At 41.5% G+C, this 21024-nt stretch overlaps 1 protein-coding gene across 6 annotated transcripts in view, besides 1 other annotated feature; it reads right to left on the bottom strand.

The window, feature by feature from the left end:
* BORCS5 (BLOC-1 related complex subunit 5) overlaps positions 1-21024 on the bottom strand; it is a 114156-nt gene that overhangs the window by 74286 nt on the left and 18846 nt on the right. The window lies entirely within an intron of this gene.
* Positions 15459-15753: an enhancer, noted in NCBI's record as "tiled region #10643; HepG2 Activating DNase matched - State 5:Enh". NCBI's record gives its function as "activates a minimal TATA promoter and a strong SV40 promoter by Sharpr-MPRA in HepG2 cells {active_cell/tissue: HepG2}" and the evidence as "EXISTENCE:reporter gene assay evidence [ECO:0000049][PMID:27701403]".

Genomic DNA, 21024 nt, shown 5'->3' with positions numbered 1-21024 from the left:
ATTATAGAAAATTGCTCAGGTGACTTCATCCCACCCACATGCTTTTGATTTTCAAAAAGTATGCTGAGCATTTTTTAAGTTAGTGTTCCGGAAAGACCGCAGCTGTTCAACACAGATTTCATATGCTCATTTAAAAACATTATTTTATTAACATAAAGGTTAATGGTTTCTAAATGAGGGTAGCAATTTCCAACATGAGTACCGTAAATTCCTATTAATATTCACTCTCAGTTTAAACATACAGACCCAGAAGGATGAACTGTTCCTTGACATTAACAGAAAAATAACATAAAGATTTATAACCCCCACCCCCCACTCCCTCCAAGAGTTTTAGCGTACCCTCTAGAAAACATTACATCTATGTTAAGCACATCAGTACGGTGACATTTGCCATGACTGTAATACTGCATTCAGCGGACCTAGGGCAAAACAAGTTAGGAGAACTGCAAACTTTGGAAGACACCTGCCCCTCCCATTCCCTACCATGCTCCTCTACCCACCCCACCCTCCGCAGGGCCTCCTTTTGAAGTGCTCTCCGCCATGGCCAGAAAAGGCATTGTGCGGATGCTAGGCTAGGGAGCATTGAGTATGCATCAGTGAAACGGCTCCTACTAGTTGTGGTTTTGCAAGGCCACAAGGCCAAAATTCAAAATTAATCTCCCACTGGGCACGGTTGCTCACACCTGTAATCCTAGCACTTCGGGAGGCCGAGGCGGGCAGATCACTTGAGGTCAGGAGTTTGAAACCAGCCTGGCCAACATGATGAAACCCATCTCTACTAAAAATACAAAAATTAGCTGGGCGTGGTAATGTGGGCCTGTAATCTCAGCTACACGGGAGGCTGAGGCAGGAGAATCGCTTGAACCCAGGGGGCGGAGTGAGCCGAGATGGTGCCACTGCACTCCAGCCTGGGCAACAGAGCCAGACTCCATCTCCAAAAGAAACAAACAAACAAACAAAATTAATCTCCCTTCCCCATTCTGCCATTATTCTGCTCCCTCAATCAAGCAACCCTATGGCTATTTCCCCGTCTTTTTATTCCTGGCACCCAATTTGCCAAATCCTGTCATTTCTTCCTTGAAAATGCCTCTCAAGTTTGCTCCTCCTTCCACTATCCCCACCCCAGCCCAGGCTTTCATCAGCTCATCACTAGGAAACTACAACAATCTCCTAACTGCATTGTCCATCTTTGGCCACTGTCATACCAATTCATTCAAAAAGCGCAGCTGTCAACATGTTAATACCCTGCTCCCTACTGCAACAAACAAAACTACAATCACGTTCTTATGGCATCAACTTCAAATTCCTTTCCCTATCCTTTAGGAGCCTCCAAATCTGGCCCTAACCTAATTTTCCCACCTTGCCGGGCATGGTAGCTCACCCCTGTAATCCCGGCACGCTGGGAGGCCAAGGCAGGTGGATCACTTGAGGTCGGGAGTTCGAGATCAGCCTGGCCAACATGGTGAAACCCCATCTCTACTAAAAATACAAAAAAAAAAAAAAAAAAAAAAATTAGCTGGGTGTGGTGGTACGCACCTGTATTCCCAGCTACTTGGGAGGCTGAGACAAGAGAATCATTTGAACCTGGGAAGCGGAGGCTGCAGTGGCAGAGATCACACCACTGCACTCCAGCCTGGGTGACAGAGAGAGACTCTTTCTCAAAATAATAATAATAATAATAATTGTCTCATCCTCTTACTCCCTCTCAAATTGCAGCCTTCTCTTTGGTCACAGAGTGATCACTCTGCCACCACCCCATCTCCTCAATGCAGGATATTCAGACCCACTTTGCTCAGACTCTCTTGCCAGCCCAGAACTCCTTCATCCACCTTCCCAACCCAACCTAACACATCACACCAAAACCCCACCTGTCCTTTTAGGTTCAGCTCAATTAATCATTCCTCTCTATATACAGTTGTTTCCTATGACTATGGTCCACCTCTTCCCCTGTGGTAAAAACCATCCGGCCTTTGGACTATGACAGACCTGAGTTTAAATCTTTTTGGAAGATGAGCAAGTTGTCTAACCTCTCTGTAGCTCAGCATTATCTATATGTGGATGATGTTAATATTTCCCTCATAGGATTGTTTTTGAAGACTTGCAAAGGTCCTGTATGAAGTACAACCAGTGTAGCACTTGGCACATGGGAAACAGGCACTCCACACAGAAGGTATGATACCATTATACACTACTAAATGAACACTATGCTTGTAAAATCCTACACTTTAAGTCAACCATGAGGTTTGTTTTCTATACTAGATTGTAATCCTCAGGAGCAAAAATCAGCCTGGCAAGATGGAATACATCTGTAGTCCCAGCTACTCAGGAGGCCAAGGCAGACACTTGAGCCCAGGAGTTTGAGTTCAGCCCAGGCAACGTACTCTGTCTCTTTAAATTTTTTTTTTTTAAAGGGCGGCAAAAATTATGTGACATCCAGTTATATCTTACTTATTTAATAATTCCAACTCCCTGAACAGCCAAGAAACAGGGAAAACCAAAAATGGCCTACAGGTCACCAAAATAGTTAAATCCCATGTATTAATTCCTGTGTATTTTAATAACAGGAAGCCCTTCAGACTGCCTCAGAGGCCTATTGGTTTGTCTTTTGTTTGTTTGTTTTTTGAGATAGAGTCTCAATCTGTCACCCAAGCTGGGGTGCAGTGGCATGATCTCAGCTCACTGCAACCTCTGCCTCCTGGGTTCAAGTGATTCTCCTGCCTCAGCCTCCCGAGTAGCTGGGATTACAGGTGTGCACTACCATACCAGGCTCATTTTTGTATTTTTAGTAGAGACAGGGTTTCACCATGTTGGCCAGTGTAGTCTAGAACTCCTGACCTCAAGTGATCCACCCACCTCAGCCTCCCAAAGTGCTGGAATTACAGGCATGAGCCACCGCACCCGGCCGAGGGCTATTGATTTTATTTTGGTTTCCAAGCTGACAGTAGCTGCTACTTGCTATCAGCAAGGGGAATGAAAGAAAAACCATAAAAAGTAAACATACACACCTGATCTGTACCAAATTGTAAACAAAATCAAGTCTAGCAATCAAAACTTCTGTTCTAATTGGTATATTAGCATGTATTATATGAGAGATAATGTAATTCTAATGTTCAAAAATAGAGACAAAGGCCGGGCGCGATGGCTCACACCTATAATCCCAGCACTTTGGAAGGCCAAGGCGGGCAGATCTACCTGAAGTCAGGAGTTCAAGAACAGCCTGGCCAACATGGTGAAACCCCGCCTCTACTAAAAATACAAAATTTAGGCAGGCATGGTGGTGTGCTCCTGTAGTCCCAGCTACTCAGGAGGTTGAGGCACGAGAATCACTTGAACCCAGGAGGCAGAGGTTGCAGTGAGCCAAGATCATGCCACTGCATTCCAGCCTGAGTGACAGAGTGAGACCCTATCTGAAAAAACAAAAAACAAAAACACTTAAAAGCAGTACCTGTAAAGTCCTGCATTTAGATGAAAAATAACCAGTTGTATAAGGATAGGGTGTGGGAAAACTGGCTCAACAGCAATTCAGTGGGGGCTTTTTTGATCTCAAGTTCAGAAAGTGGAAGCAGTAGTCCCAGGCACCTGGCAATGGTTACTGTACACCTGCGAGAGTATTCTGGGTGTCATGTTTAAGAAGAGATTTTTAAACTAGGGTACATCCTGAGTTGAGTGATAGAAGTCATTGTCCAGAAACCTTGTCTTATTATTATTTTTTGGAGATAAGGTCTCACTCTGTCACCCAGGCTGGAGTGCAGCAGCACAATCTCGGCTCACTGCAACCTCTGCCTCCTGAGCTCAAGGATCCTCCCGCCCCAGCCTCCCAAGTAGCTGGGACTACAGGCATGCACCACTGTGCTGGTCTAATTTTTTTGTATTTTTTGTAGAGACGGAGTTTTGCCATATTGTCCAGGCTGGTCTTGAACTCTTGGGCTCAAGCAGTCCGCCCACCTCAGCCTCCTAAAGTGCTGGCATTGCATTATAGGCATGAGCCACCACACCTGGCCGACCTTTTTTTATGAAGGAGATTTGAAGCAGATTACAGTTTTGGTTTGCAGAAGAGACGACTCAGAATATAACCCTCTTCTAATATTACATGGGTGCCAAATAGATACAGGATTTGATCTAATTTTATAAAGTCCCAGTGATCAGAACTGAGATCAGTGGACAGAAATTATTGGGAGGTAGAGTTTGGTTTGATAAAAAGAACTTTCTATAATAATTTGAATGGTAATTTTTATTGGGCAATTGCAATACGTCACACAGTGAGCTAAGCACTTTTCAGACAGCGTCTCACATTTAATTCTCACAGCATCCTTGTCATGTGGGTACTTTTTAGTCTCAATTTATAGATAAGGATACTGTTGTTTAGAGATAAGGATTTGTCCAGTGTTGTGCAGCTAAGAAGTGGCTGAGCAGCTGTTCTTAATCTGGATCTGACTGTTCTCAAAAGTCTATGTCTGTAACCTTTTTGCTGCCTTGCATAGTATTAAACTATCTTAATTACTAGAAATGTTTAAGCAGAACTGGAATGATTCTTTGTAACTTGGAATAAATTCCTGCAATTCATGAGAGTGCAGAGGGGCAGTGTGGCATGATAGGAAAAAGCACAGACTTTGGAGATAATTCAGAGATCGAAAACGTCGTATATTGGCCTTAGGATCTTGGTCAAGTCACCTAACCTCTTTGGATCACATTTTCCTCATCTCTAAAAGGGACACTAATACCTCTACCTCAGAAGGTTATTGGGAGGATTAATTTATTTGAGTAGTGTGTATTTGTTACATATTGGGGACTCAACAAATAATTGCTGTGTGCAGAAATCCCTTTAACTTAAACAATTATGATCGTTGGACTTAGAGCTGCACCATTTTAGCTTTGTCTCTATTTTTTTTTTTTTTTTTTTTTGAAATGAAGTCTCACTCCATTGCCCAGGCTGGAGTGCTGTGGTGCAATCTTGGCTCACTGCAACCTCTGCCTCCTGGGTTCAAGTGATTCTCATGCCTCAACCTCCTGAGTAGCTGGGACTACAGGAGCAAACCCCCATGCCTGCCTAAATTTTTAGCGTTTTTTTTTTTTTTTTTTTTAGTGACGGGGTTTCACCATGTCGGCCAGGCTGGTCTTGAACTCCTGAGCTCAAGCGATCTGCCCACCTTGGCCTCCCAAAGTGCTGAGATTACAGGCATGAGCCACTGCACCCAGCTGTATTGCTTTTAAATGTCATTGTGGTTTCAGACCATCTTTTCAGTCTGTTAAGATCATTTTGTGCCAGGCGTGGTGGCTCACGTCTGCAATCCCAGCACTTTCGGAGGCCAAGGCGGGCGCATCATTTGAGGTCAGGAGTTCGAGACCAGCCTGGCCAACATGGTGAAACCCTGTCTCTACTAAAAATACAAAAAAATTAGCCGGGCATGGTGGCGTGCACCTGTAGTCCCAGCGACTTGGGAGACTGAGGCAGGAGAATGGTTTGAACTCAGGTGGTGGAGGTTGAAGTGAGCCGAGATCATGCCACTGCACTCCAGCCTAGGTGACAGAGCTAGACTCTGTCTCAAAAAAAAAGGTCATTTTGACCCTTGATTCTGTCATCCATTGTGTCAGATATTCTGTCCAACACTTTACCACCTACCAATGTGATTGATATGCCTCTACCTCTTTATTTAAGTCCAGTCCACAAATCTTCAATAAGTATCTAGCATGTATAGGGTCCTTTGCTAAGTATGGCAGGAACCAAGCTAAGTGATATGATCTTGAGTAAGGTTGAGGCCAAGGTCAGAACCTTGCAGTATCTTACTTATGCTCCTGTTATGGACTTATCTTGAAATTTTTAGTGTGACAAAACAAGACTGACTGGATGCACAATAGTAGTCTATCAATACTTTAAAAGAGAACAAGCGCTGAAGGCACAGAGTTGGAACCAATGGATGGAAATTTTGAAATCATGGCCCCTCGTTCAATTACCCGCCTCCCCTTTTAACGTGTACTTTTTTCTATTTCTAAGCTTCTGGTACCTCTTCTGTTCTTTACAATTCATTAAAAATGGCAGTTTAGGCCGGGCGTGGTGGCTTATGCCTGTACTCCTAGCACTTTGGGAGGCCAAGGAAGGTGGATCATCTAAGGTCATCCTACTTATTACTGCTTTTGCTTTGACCATAATTTTTTTTTTTTTAAGAGACAGGGTCTTGCTCTGTCACCCAGGCTGCTGTGCAGTGGTGCAGTCATAGCTCACTGCAGCCTGGAACTCTTGGGCTCAAGCAATCCTGATGCCTCAGCCTCCCAAGTAGCTGAGGCTACAGGTGCATCCACCTTATTGAGATAAGGTCAAAAAAAAAAAAGGAGATAAGGTCTTGCTATGTTGACCAGGCTGGTCTCAAATTCCTGGCCTCAGGTGATCCTCCTGCCTCAGCCTCCCAAGTAGCTGTAATTACAAGTACATGCCACCACCCCCGGCTTTCTGACCATAACTTTCTGTATTTCTAGTTATCCTTCCTTCTACATTTAGGACACATGCTTTTAAAATTAAAGCATTTTGCAATGTTCTGTGCTTGGCCACAGTGGTCACTTCAAATATATTACCTCCTTCCTCATCATGATCTATGTAAAGATTGTATCAATTTAGGAAAGGTAAAAAAGATAATGAAGGAGATGGTCTAAGACAAACTTGCCTTCTAGTGGGATGAACTATTAGAATGTAAGCTCTTTGAAAGCAGAGATTGTGTATTTGGCTATACCCTCACCTCCTAGAACAGTGCCTAACACATAGCAGCCCTCAAATATTTGCTGAACAAATGAACAAGCAAAATCTTGAAGGAATGATAGATTAAAGGAATCTAAAAAGGAATCATTAAAGGAATGAAAAGATTTTAGCAGGCCTATGTGGAAAAGATGGCTTTTTATCAGATAGAAGGGCATGGGCAAAGTTTAGAGGTGGGAAAGCAAAGAAAACAGTCCGATTTGGCCTGGAGCTCAATACAAAGCACACAGTGGGAAATGAAGATTTAAAGACTGCTTGAGGCCAGGCGCAGTGCCTCATGGCTGTAATCCCAGCCCTTTGGGAGGCCGAGACAGGAAGATCACTTGAGGTCAAGAGTTCAAGATAAGCCTGGCCAACATGGCAAAACCCTGTCTCTACTAAAAATACAAAAATTAGCTGGGTGTGGCGGCATGTGCCTGTAATCCCTGCTACTCGGGTGACTGTGGCATGAGAATCACTTGAACCCGAAAGGCAGAGCTTGCAGTGAGCCAAGATCATGCCACCGCACTCCAGCCTGGGCGACAGAGCGAGACTCTGTCTCAAAAAATAAATACATAAAACGAAATAAATTTTTTAAGATAAAGGCTGCTTGAGATCTTCACCTCAAGCTGAGGAGCTCATACCTGCATCAGAATTGGTTGTAGGCAGGATGGAGCAACCAATTCTGCAGAGGAATCACATAACTTCAGTTGGGCTTAAAAGATACTGGCAGAGGTATATAAAACTAATTAGAATTGTAAATGTGCATTAAAAATATATTTATTTGGCTGGGAGTGGTGGCTCACACCTGTAATCCCAGCACTTTGGGAGGCCAAGGCGGGTGGATCACCTAAGGTCAAGAGTTCGAGACCAGCCTAGCCAACATGGAGAAACCTGGTCTCTACTAAAAATATAAAAATTAGCCAGGCGTGGTGGTGGGCGCCTGTAATCCCAGCTACTTGGGAGGCTGAGGCAGGAGAATCCCTTGAACCTGGGAGGCAAAGTTTGCAGTAAGCCGAGATCGCACCATTGCCCTCCAGCCTGGGCGACAAGAATGAAAATGCGTCTCAAAAAAAAAAAAAAAAAAAGTACTTACTTGTAAGGACCTAGGGGAAAAACTCTGGCCAGAGATAGTTAATATCTGGTACTTTCTATATGAACCCATAGTATTTGCCTCAACAACCTGTGTCCTGTCCCTATGCTGGAATGAGTGAGACTCAAGGAATGTCACCAAAGTAAAAGTAGGGATAAAAATGAGGCCAAAATAAATAGGCCTCGGAACTGTAGCCTCTTGCGAGAACTTACTGCAAGTCAGAGGACTGGCTTCAACCATTGCTAAAAGAATGGCTTAGGGAGTTATGCTCATATCTGGAACATTTTTTAAATTTCCATCTCATGTGTGGGGTTGCCTTGATGTTCTGTTTCAATCTCTTCCAGTATATTGCCAGGAAAGGAGAAGAACAGCAGAAAGATAGTCTATCTGGCCCCAAAAATGTCAGCCATCCTCTGGTCCTCAGACCAGACTCACAGATGGCTGTTACCTTTTCTTATATGTCCCCCCCACCCCACTTAAGAGTCTGGTTTCCTTTCATTAATTATTCATGCCTTGTCCTATTTTCCCTTTTTGTATAATTATGGAACACTAACACAATTGTTTCATTAATAATATACTTATCTACTACTGCTGGAAGACCACATCCAAAAAAAAGCAGTGGATATTATAATGAGATTTATCTTCCTTATTTACAGATACATTTCTTTTGCTTTTGAATATTAACTATCCTCGGCCAGCAGTTCCTTTTTGTTGATTTCGTCCCATCTAAATTAGGAGCAGCCATGACATTGCTATCCTATTTGAGGTTTGGGGCAGGTCTTAGAATCATTACTCTCTCATCAATGGTGTGATTTTTATGTCTCTGGTCACTGCTACCATATGTTTGGGAAGTGTGGTCTTAGGATGTGGTTTAAAGTCTCAGGAAAAACACTTCAATGTTTTAAATAAGTATAGACTAGTAATAAATACAGTTTGTGGTGATAAAATACCACAATAAAAACTGCATTAATGATATACATAATAAGCATGGTACTGATAATCAGATACCAAAAAGAGTCTCAATTAATATAATAATCACAAATGTTAGTTCTCACTAATCGCATATGAGATAGCAATTTACTTCCCACAAAAATACCAACTAGAAACTGGAAAATAAAAAAGTATTCTTAACAGAAAGAGTTCTGTGTCTGTTGACTGTGATGAGCTTTTCCCTGGATCTCTGACCTAGGTTCTGTCGTGTTAAACATTCTTTAATGACTTGAGTGAGGCCCCTCATGGTGTGTTAATCGTGGGGATTCAAAAAAGGCTTCAACAAGCTAGAAACTGAGGCTACATGTGACACTGAACTGTGGATGAATGTGAGTCTTTCACTGAAGGTCCAAAAACTATCTGCAGAAATACAGGATGGGGGAGGTGTGGCTTAATGTCAGCACATGTGAAAAACACTTTAGAGTTTTAGATGATTCGATATGACTCAAGTGCATGTGGCTGCCAAAAAAGCTACTTAAACTTGGGCTGTATTAAAAGGAATATATCATGCAGAAAAGACACTGGATCCAATCCACACCTGGAACACTATGCCAATTCTGGGGGTCATGCTCTAACAAAAGAGACAAAATGGAGTATATTTAGGTTTCGGATCAGAGGGCTGAGTGACATAAAATCATGAGCACGTGTTACTTTCATGATCAGAATAAAAGATACTTCCATTTTGGAGAAAACAAATCCTTAAGTAATGCCCAGTGTTGAAGAGGATATTATGAAATGGAAATGCTCAGATAGTATTGTTTTTACTATGAATTAGTTTATTAAATCCTTTGGGAAGCAATTCTGTCATATATTGTAACTGCCACAAAACTTATGTTGGCTTTACTTATAATCACCAAATACTGGAAACAACCCCGATTCCTTCAGCTGGCAAATGGATAGACAGTCTATGGTATATCCATAAGAAGGAAACAATAAAAGGAACAAACTATTGATACAACCACATAATGAATCTTGCTAGGCATGAGAGCTCAAACCTGCAATCCCAACTACTCAGGGGGCTGAGGCAAGAGGATGACTTGAGGCCAGGTGTTTGAGACCAGTCTTAACAACACAATAAGACCACATTTCTAAAAAAAGTATTTTTTTTAATTAGCTGGGCATGGTGGTACATGCCTGTAGTCTTAGCTATTCAGGAGGCTGAGGCTAGAGGATCACTTGAGCCCAGGAGTTCAAGGTTACAGTGAGCTATGATTGTGCCACTGCACTCTAGAAAAAAAATACATATATTCATACATAAAAATAATAACCCAACAGTGCAGATAAATATTGGAACATAAAAAGACTCAATCCTAAAGCAGACAGAAAAAGGTATGGGTGGGCAGGGAGGAAGGAATAAAGAACAGGAGCAAAGGCCGGGCACGGTGGCTGGCACCTGTAATCCCAGCACTTTGGGAGGCCGAGGCAGGTGGATCACTTGAGGTCAGGAGTTCGAGACCAGCCTGGCCAACATAGTGGAGCCCTGTCTCTATGAAAAATACAAAAAACTAGCACGTGCCTGTAGTCCAGCTACTCAGGAGGCTGAGGTAGGAGTAGGAGAATTGCTTGAACCCAGGAGGTAGAGGTTGCAGTGAGCCAAGATCATAACACTGCACTAGAGCCTGGGAGAAAAAGCAAGACTTTGTCTCAAAAAAAGAGAACGAACTAGAACAAATAAAAAAAAAAAAAATAGCAACAGTGGACTTTAACCCCACCACACTGAAATTACACTAAATCTAAGAGTGTTAAAGATATCATTAAAAAGACAGATTTTCAACATATATAAAACAGCAAGACAACTATATGCTGGCTACTTTAAAAGCTAGATTAAAAGCAAATGGGGGGCCAGGCACAGTGGCTCACACCTGTAATCCCAGCACTTTGGGAGGCCGAGGCAGGTGGATCACTTGAGGCAAGGAGTCCATGACCAGCCTAGCCAACGTGGCGAAATGCTGTCTCTACTAAAAATACAAAAATTAGCCAGGCATGGTGGCACACACCTGTAATTGCAGCTACTCAAGAGACTGAGGTACGAGAATCGCTTGAACTCAGGAGGCAGAGGTTGCAGTGAGCCAAGACTGCGCCACTGCACTCCAACCTGGGCGACAGAGTGAGACTCCATCTCCAAAAAAAAAAAAACCACATGGACAGACAAGTGGGACTTCTTGATAAATCCAAATGAGGAGATCAACATATCCTCTCTGCAAAAGGTAACTATAAAGCTGAACATAATTCATACCATTCAAACATAATTCAAACCATTTTGAGGTTTGGAAAATCAACCAATGGCATATAAAAATTTGAGAAGCATTTATGCCTTAAAAATGAATGAACTTGGCCAAGTGTGGCGGCTCACGCCTGTAATCCCAACACTTGGGGAGGCCGAGGCAGGCGGATCACGAGGTCAGGAGTTTGAGAACAGCCTAGCCAATATGGTGAAACCCCGTCTCTACTAAAAATACAAAAATTAGCCAGGCATGGTGGTGTGCTCCTGCAGTCCCAGCTACTTCAGAGGCTGAGGCAGAAGAATCGCTTAAACCTGGGAGTTGGAGGTTGCAGTGAGCCGAGATTGTGCCACCGCACTCTAGCCTGAGTGACAGAGTGTGACTCCATCTCAAAAAAAAAAAAAGAACTTGGGTAAAAATAGTGAGAATCTGTGTCATTGAGATGTGAGGCTTCTCCCAACCTTCCTGCCTCAGTTGAAGCAGATGTTGTACCAGAATGGGACAGGTAATGAGAACAGGAAGCTTTCCTGCTTTAGCAGGAAGCGGCTGCTGACTTATTTGGAACAATAGGTAGCATCCACATCCAGCGGTGTCATCAGTAGAATTGACTATCTCAGAGATGGGCAAGTGGAAAGTGCCAAAAGCTATACTAACACGAGGTTGTGGTCGTGGTCAGGGCAAGCTTACTCCTAGCTAAGGCTGTATGCATTTGCAGCAGAGACCTGAAAGGGTGCAACCAGTCACGTGCTCCTAGCTGACACTGAGGGTGTGTGTATTCCAAGGGGAGAGGTGAAAGGGTTCAGCAGTGAACAAAAGATAAGATTTGAAAATGGCCTGAACTTTGAATGTGCTACCCTGCCACGCAGAGCCATTTACAGATGACAGAAGCCTTCCTGATCAAGGTGGTTAAGTACAACCTCTGATCAATAACTGACTATTAACCCATGCAGACATATGGACAACCCCTAGGAAAGCAGATGTAAAGATATAAGCAAGTTTAAAAAGCAAGCAGACACATGGAGAGGACCTGAGACTACACAAATAAAGAGAGCTGCCCAGACGGCCCCCAGCTGCTCCAGCCCCTGTTATTTCAGCTCCAGCCACCAACTGACTGCAGCTGCATAACAAAGTCAGAACTGCCCAGCTGAGCCCTTCCAGAATCCCTGACCCACAGAAATCTGAGAGATAATAAAGTGATTGTCGTCTTTTAAAAAGGAGGGTGTGGGGTGGAAAAGTAGAGACATTAATGGCCACAAACCACAGGAAAAAGATTTCACAGGTTTGACAAACATGTTACTAAACAAAGAGCAATGAACAGACAAAAAAGTAACAACAGCAATTTGGGAGGATCAGAATCCACAGCTGCTATATTATCTAAAATGCCCAGTTCTTAACAAAAAAATTATAAGACCTACAAAGAAACAGGAGTGTGACTCGTACTCAAGAAAAAAATGCAGTCAATAGAAATTGCCTCTGAGTATTGAAGATACTAGATACAGCAGACAAAAATTTCAAAGCAATTATAAGCTCACAGAACTACAGAAAATCATAATAAAAGAAAGAAAAATATAACAATGAATCTACAAATTCAGATTCCCTATAAGGAGACAGAAATTATATATATATTTTAAAAAGCAGGCCAGGCACGGTGGCTCACACCTGTAATCCCAGCACTTTGGGAGGCCAAGGTCAGCACATTGCTTGAGCCCAGGAGTTTGAGACCAGCCGGGCAACATAATGAGACTTTGTCTCTACAAAACAAACAAACAAATACATACATACATAAAATTTTTAAAAATAAGAAACCAAACAGAAATCTTGGAGTTGAAAAGTATAATAATGGAAATGAAAAATTCACTGGGGCAACTCAATAGCAATTTGGGGATGGCAGGAAAAAGAATCAGTGAACCTGAAAATAGAAATTATCTAAAGAACAAAGAGAAAAGATTAAAGAAAATAAAACAGTGCCTTAGAGATCTGTGCAACAACAACAAACATGCCAACACATGCATAATGGAAATCCCAGAAGGAAAGAAGAGACAAACTTACCAAATCTGATGAAAAATATTAATCCACACATTCAAGAAGCTCAAAGGCCCCAAGTAGGATAAATACAAAGAGATCAAAACTTGGACTTATCACAAACTATGGAAAGCTAAAGGAAAAAAAAATCCTGAAATGAGCAAGAGAAAAGCAACTCGTCTGAAACAATGGAGGCTAGAAGAGAGTAGAATGGCATATATAAAGTGCTGGGGGAAAAAAATTGTCAACCAAAAATTCCATTTCAATCAAATTTATCCCTCAAAAAAAAAAAAGACAAAGACATTCCTAGATAAACAAAAACTGAGAAAATCTGCTAGTGAATTTGTAACATTAAATACTAACAAAAGTCTTTTCAGGGTAAAAGGAAGTGACAACGGTTGGGGACCTGAAGTCCAAGAAGAACTGAGGAACACCAAAAATTGTAAATATGTGAGTTAACACAGAAGATTCTACAAATATATTTTTATTCACACCTTCTCTTAACTTCTTTAAAAGACAAACATCCTTAAGGAAGTAACTATGACACTGTGTTTTGGGTTTACAAATATATACAGATATTATACATGAGAATAATAGCACAAAAAAGGGTGAAAGAATGAGGCTATAATGGAGCAAAGCATATATATTTTACCAGAATTAAGTTAGTATTAATCTGAAGTAGACTCTGATAATTAACATGTACACTGTAATCCCTACAGCAACTGCTAAGAAAACAACTCCAAAAAATACATAGTTAAAAAAAATCAATGGAACAGTTAAAACAGTAAACTAAAAATATGTATTTAATATAAAAGGAGGCAGTCAAGGAGGAACAGAGAAACAAAATAGACAAGAATGTATAGAAAAGAAATAATAAAAAGGCAAATCTAACCAGATCAATAACTATATTAAAAGTGAATGGTTTTTATACCTCAATCAAAAGGTAGAGAATGTCAGACTGGATGAAACATCAAGATCCAACTATATGCTATTTACAAAAGACACACCTTAGATTCAAAGACACAAAAGAGTTGAAAGCAAACAGATAAAAAAAGATACATACCCACTGGGCACGGTGGCTCACACCTGTAATCCCAACACTCTGGGAGGCCGAGGCAGGTGGATCATCTGAGGTCAGGAGTTCGAAACCAGCCCGGCCAACATGGCAAAACCCTATCTCTACTAAAAATACAAAAATTAGACAGGCATGCTGGCACGCGCCTGTAATCCCAGCTACTTGGGAGGCTGAGGCAGGAAAATCACTTGAACCCAGGAGGCAGAGGTTGCAGGAAACTGAGATCGCGCCACTGCACTTCAGCAGCCTGTCGAGCAAGACTTTGTCTCAAAAAAAAAAAAAAAAAAGATATATACCATCATAGAACCATAAGAAAGACAGAATAGTGATATCATTTGGATACTTGTCCCCTCCAAATCTCATGTTAAAATGTGGCCCCTAATGTTGGAGGTGGGGTCTAGTGGGAGATGTATGAGTCATAAGAGCAGATCCCTCAAGAATGGCTTGGTGCCTCCCTGTAGTACCGAGCAAGTCTCCCTCTATTAGTTTATGGGAGAACTGGTTGTTTAAAGGAGTGTGGCACCTCCCCCACCTCTGTCTCCCTCTCTTACCATGTGACATGCCTGCTCCTCCTTCACCTTCCTCCATGATTGAAAGTTTTCTGAGGTCCTTACCAGAAGCAGATGCTGGTGCCACACTTCTTATACAGCTTGCAGAACTGTGAGCCAAATAAACCTCTCTTCTTTATAAATTACCCAGCCTCGGGTATTCCTTTATAGCAACTCAAAGTGGACTAACACAAATGGCTCTATTAATATTAGATAAAATAGAAATAAAGACAGAGAGTAATATTAGAGAACGGTGTTTCATAATGATGAAAGTTGTTACATCATGAAGATATAATAATTCTAAATGTATCCACACCAGCAACATATCCTCAAAACAAATGAAGGAAAAACTGACAGAATCAAAAGGAAAAATACACAATTCAACAAAACAGGTTAATAATTCAGTACCTCACTCTCAATTGATAAAACTAAAGACAAAATCAGTAAGAATATACAAAACTCAAAAAACACTATCAACCAACATAACTGACATATATAAAACTCTCTACCCAATGACTGCAGACTATATAGTCTTTAAAAGCACATATGGTTTATACCTTTCACAAAAATTAAGTCAAAATGGATCGCAGACCTAAATGTAAAATGCAAAACTATGAAAGTCCTAAGCAGTAATACAAGAGAAAATCTAGGTAAGCATGGATTTGGTGATGACTTTTTAGATACAACACCAAAGTACAATCCACGAAATTAAAAATGGGACAGATCAATGGAACAGACCTAAGAGTCCAGAAATAAACCCTTACATTTATGGTCATTTTTTAAAGGTGCTGAGATAATTCAATAAGGGAAAACACAATCTTTTCAACATATGGTACAGGGTCAACTGGATACCACAAGCAAACAAACAAAGCAAAATGAACTTAGACCTTTACACAACACACACAAAGTAATCCAAAAAGGATCACAGGCCTAAATGCAATCACTAAAACTATAAAACTTCTAGGAGAAATCTTTATTAAAAATATTGATACACTGAACTTCATCAAGATTAAAAAAGTTGTACTTCAAAAAATATCAGCCAGGTCAGAAGTTCCAGACCAGCCTGGCCAACATGGTGAAAGCCTGTCTCTACTAAAAACACAAAAATGAGCCAGGCACCCGTAATCCCAGCTACCTGGGAGGCTAAGGCAGGAGAACTGCTTGAACCCAGGAGGTGGAGTTTGCAGTGAGCTGAGATCGCGCCAGTGCACTCCAGCCTGGGCGACAGAGTGAGACTCGGTCTCAAAAAAAAAAAAAAAAAATCCCCCAAAAAATGAAAAGAAAGTCACAGTCTGGGAGAAAATACTGCAAATCATATATCTGATTAAGAGATTGTATCCAGAATAAAGAACTTGTTATAATACAATATAAGTTAAAAACCCAATTTAAAAATGGATAAGAGATTTGAACAGGTATTTCAAGCACACAAAAATAATCTCAACATCATTAGAGAAATGTAAATGTAAACCATAATGAGATACCACTACACAACCACTCTGATGGCTATAATCAGAAATAAAGAGAATACTGAATTCTCATACATTGCTGGAAGGAATGTAAAATGGTAATTTTGAAAAAAGTTTGGCAGTTTCGTAAAAGTAAACACAAAGTTACCATACAACCTACCAATTCCGTTCCTAAGAATCCACCCAAAAGAAATAAAAACACATTCACATGAACACATGGTCACAAAGGTTCATAGCAGCATTATTCATAACAGGCAAAAACTGGAAGTCAGACTCAAAAGAGTATGTATTGTATGATTCCATTTAGATGAAGTGTCCAGAAAAGCTGGCCTGTGGTTGCCTAGGACTGGAGACTGGGAGCAGAATTAACTGCAAACTGGAAATAATTTTGATATGGTCCTCATTCATCTCTTTTTATCTCTGATTAGATCAAGCCATCTTCCATATATAGGCACACCTCATTCTATTCCACTTCAAATTTTTTTTAAATTGTGCTTCACAGATACTGTGTTTTTTTTTACAAATTGAAGATTTGTGGCAGGGTGCTTACTTCATGTCTGTCACATTTTGGTAATTCTTGCAATATTTCAAACTTCCATTATTATGATATCTGTCATGGTGATCTGTGATCAGTGATCTTTGATGTCACTATTGTAATTGTTTTGGGCACCACAAACCACACCCATAGAAAACAGGAAACTTAAACTGAGAAGTGTTGCATGTGCTCTGACTGCTTCACGGACCAATCATTCCCCCGGCTATCACCCTCTCCTTGGACCTACTCCCTGAAATACAATAATATTGAAATCAGGCCAATGAATTCCCCTACAATGGTCTTTATGTGTTCAAGTGAAAGGAAGAATTGCACATCTCTCACTTTAAATCAAAAGCTAGAGTGAGGAAGGTATGTTCAAAGCTAAGACAGGGTAGAAGTCAGGCCTCTTGCACCAGTTTGCCAAGCTGTGAATGCAAAGGACAAGTTCTTAAAGGGAATTAAAAGTGCTACTCCAGTGAACACACAAAGGCAAAAACAGCCCTAGTGCTGACATAAAAAGTTTTAATGGTCTGGATAGACAATCAAACTAGCTCCAACATTCCACTGAGACAAAGCCTAATCAAGGAAGCACCTCAGAGGTTCTACTTCTGGGTCTTCAAGGGAACCCACTCTTGCCTTAAGCTATTCTAGTGGATTGCTTAATGGGCTTTAGTGGATCTTAAAAGCTCTGTCGGGTAGGAGATTCTAAATTCTTTCTGTTGACATCCGACCTCTCAGTAGATAACTTAGTTCAAATACAAAATTGAAATCTTTTCTAAAACAAAATTGTATTTTTAAACTTACTATTTTTGAATAAGAAGTTTAAAAAAAGCAAAAGAAGTTAAAGAAAAGTTGCAGGCTTAGGTGTGGTGGCCCATGCCTGTAAACCCAGCACTATGGGAGGCTGAGGCAGGCGGATCACCTGAGGCCAGGAGTTCAAGACCAGCCCGGCTAACATGGTGAAACCATACTAAAGATACAAAAATTAGCCAAGCATGGTGGCACGTGCCTGTAGTCCCAGCTACTCAGGAGGCTGAGGCAAGAGAATCACTTGAACCCGGGAGGCAGAGGTTGCAGTGAGTCAAGATCGCTCCATTGCACTCCAAGCCTGGGCAACAAAGCAAGATTTTTGCCTCCAAAAAGAAAAAAAAAAAAGAGAAAAGAAAGAAGAAAGAAGAAAGAAAGAAATAGAAAAGTTGCATAAAGTATAGGATTCCAGATGGGTGCAATGGCTCATGCCTATTATCCCAAGCACTTTGTGAGGCAAAGGTGGGAGGATCCCTTGAGCCCAGAAATTCAAGACCAGCCTGGGCAACATACGGAACCCTATTTCTACAAAAAAAATTAAAAATATTAGCTGGGAGTGGTGGCACACACCTGTGGTCTCAGCTACTCAGGAGGCTGAGGCAGGAAGATTACTTGAGCCTGGGAGGTCGAGGCTGCAGTGAGTCATGATCTCACCACTACACCCTCAGCAGCTTCCCCTTAATATTAACATAGTATGTAACTGCAATACAATGATCAAAACCAGGAAATTAACACTGCTACAATATAATCAACTAAACTACACAACTATTCAAATGTGCCCTTTTTTCCCACTAACATCCTTTCTCATTCTAGGACCCAATCCAGGACCCACACTGCATGTCTCCTTAGTCTCCTTAAATCTGTGATAATTCTTCAATTGTTCCTTGTCTTTCAAGACTTTGACTCTTATAAAGAAAACCGGTTAGTTATTTTGTAGCATGTCTCTAATATTTTTTCCTCATTTAATAATATTACTATCAACAAGAATCATGTACTGAGGGTTTATTAAGTGAGAGGTACTATATACTAAGCCCTATGCCTATGTTCTCTCTTTTAAATAAAAGTGTTTGTAGTAGACTTTATGTATTTTTTTGGAGACGGAGTCTCACTCTGTCACCCAGGCTGCAGTTCAGTGGCACGATCTTGGCTCACTGCAACCTCTGCCTCCCAGGTTCAAGCGATTGTCCTGCCTCAGCCTCCTGAGTAGCTGGGATTACAGGCGCACGCCACCATGCCTAGCTACTTTTTGTATTTTTAGTAGAGACGGGGTTTCACCCTGCTGGCCAGGCTGGTCTCAAATTCCTGACCTGAGGTGATCTGCCCGCCTAGGCCTCCCAAAATGCTGGAATTACAGGTGTGAGCCACCGTGCCCGGCCTATAATAGACTTTAAAACAGAAGTATTTTAAAATCAAAGAGCAATCATCTTTAATTCATTCTTCTTCAAGTGCTATTGTTTTGTAAATTACAAACTATCATGCAACATATTATTTTCCCACACCAATATCCTTCAATGTCCCCTCCAATATCCCTAAAAAATATTAAACCTAAATGTATGCTTTAAATTCAGGGCCCTTGAGTTTTTATCTTTCTAAATCTTTACTGCCTGCATTTTCCTATCCTTAAACCTTGGCTCATTGCTTTCTTCACTTGTAACTGTCCTACTTTTGCATCTCTAAATATGCTTTCTCTTAAGGACACCTTTGATCACTACCGCTAGCTCTCAAGAGCTACTGATCCCCTGAAATACTACAGAAGCTAGTGAATGCACTACTCATTTGGTTTACATACAATACCCTGTGCTGTGGGCATGTATTATCTCCCAAATGAGACTTCTTGAGAGCAGAGGACCTGTGAGCTATCTTTTCCCCCATGACATCTAGTATACTACCCTAATGCTTAATTGCATTTACTGAGTACCTACCAAGTGCCAAGCTTTGTGCTGGGCCCTAAGAAATCCACGATGTCTAAGACAAAATCCCAACTCTTGGCTGGGCATGGTAGCTCATGCCTGTAATCTCAGGACTTTGGGAGGCTGAGGCAGACAGACCACCTGAGGTCAGGAGTTTGAGACCAGCCTGGCCAACATGGTGAAAACCATCTCTACTAAAAATACACAAAATTAGCCAGGCATGGTGGTGCGCGCCTGTAGTCCCAACTACTCGGGAGGCCGAGGCAGAAGAATTGCTTGAGCCTGGCGGGGCGGGGCTTGCAGTGAGCCAAGATCACACCACTGCACTCCAGCCTGGGCAACAGAGCAAGACTCCGTCTCGAGAAAAAAAAAAAAAAAAGGACAAAATCTCAACTCTTGAGAAACCTGAGGTGTGACGATAAATGCTTCTCTGAGTACAGAGATAGACTGAAAATCGTTTTCTCTCCAAAAAATTAAGGTCACTAAAAAGTTTCCTCCGGTAGTAAGATTTGTCCTTTTCTGTCCTGATAAACACTAAAATAAGTAATTCTAGATTACTAACGTGTCACAGAACATGTATATTTCCCAATCAGCTTGTGCTTGAAGCAAGCTGTGACTTAGTTTTATGAGAAATGCAGGTGCTACAGAGGAAGCCTTATTAACCAAAGGCCTTTGAAAAGACTGCACCAGGTTGCAGCAGTTTCAACAAGCTTACCAATTGTTTTAGTCTAGTGACATCTAGTGGTAAAAGTGTTGTTAAACACAGGACTGCTATAAATTTAATTACTACACTAAAGGAAGGCCATCTTATTTTAAAAATGGCAAAATATGAGAAAGACCTATGGCATTTATTATTAATTTGCCTTTGGCCTATGTAACTGTTAACTCTCTGTTGGATTTATTTTTTCCTTCTCCTATGGCTGAGAAAAATTAATTTTGACATAACATAAGATTTACTGAAATAAAAAGATACTGATTCTTTAAGTTAGAGAAAAGCCCTCAATTAAAAAAGATTGAAGAGCAGGCCAGGTGCAGTGGCTCACGCCTGTAATCCCAGCACTTTGGGAGGCCGAGGCAGGTGGATCACGAGGTCAGGAGATAGAGACTATCCTGGCTAACACTGTGAAACCCCCTCTCTACTAAAAATACAAAAAATTAGCCGGGCGTGGTGGCGGGCGCCTGTAGTCCCAGCTACTCAGGAGGCTGAGGCAGGAGAATGGCGTGAACCCAGGAGGCAGAGCTTGCAGTGAGCTGAGATGGTGCCACTGCACTCCAGCCTGGGCAACAGAGTGAGACTCTGTCTCAAAAAAAAAAAAAAAAGACTGAAGAGCAAAGCAATCCCAATTGTCACCTGTTCCGAAAATCCTGCAAATCAAAACAGACTTTTTGTTCATAAATATTTACTTACTGACACTTTCATATACTGCTAAAAATGTTTAGAGACAGGATTACAGACCAGGCATGGTGGCTCACACCTGTAATCCCAACACTTTGGGAGGCCGAGGTGGGCGGATCATGAGGTCAGGAGTTTGAGACCAGCCTGGCCAACATGGCGAAACCCCATCTCCACTAAAAATACAGAAATTAGCTGTGCGCGGTGGTGGACGCCTAGAATCCCAGCTACTCGGGAGG

Source organism: Homo sapiens, chromosome 12 (assembly GCF_000001405.40).
Source record: "Homo sapiens chromosome 12, GRCh38.p14 Primary Assembly".
Classification (NCBI taxonomy): domain Eukaryota; kingdom Metazoa; phylum Chordata; class Mammalia; order Primates; family Hominidae; genus Homo; species Homo sapiens.
The sequence above is the reverse complement of the archived record's forward strand: the minus strand, read 5'-3'. Positions and strand labels throughout refer to the sequence as shown.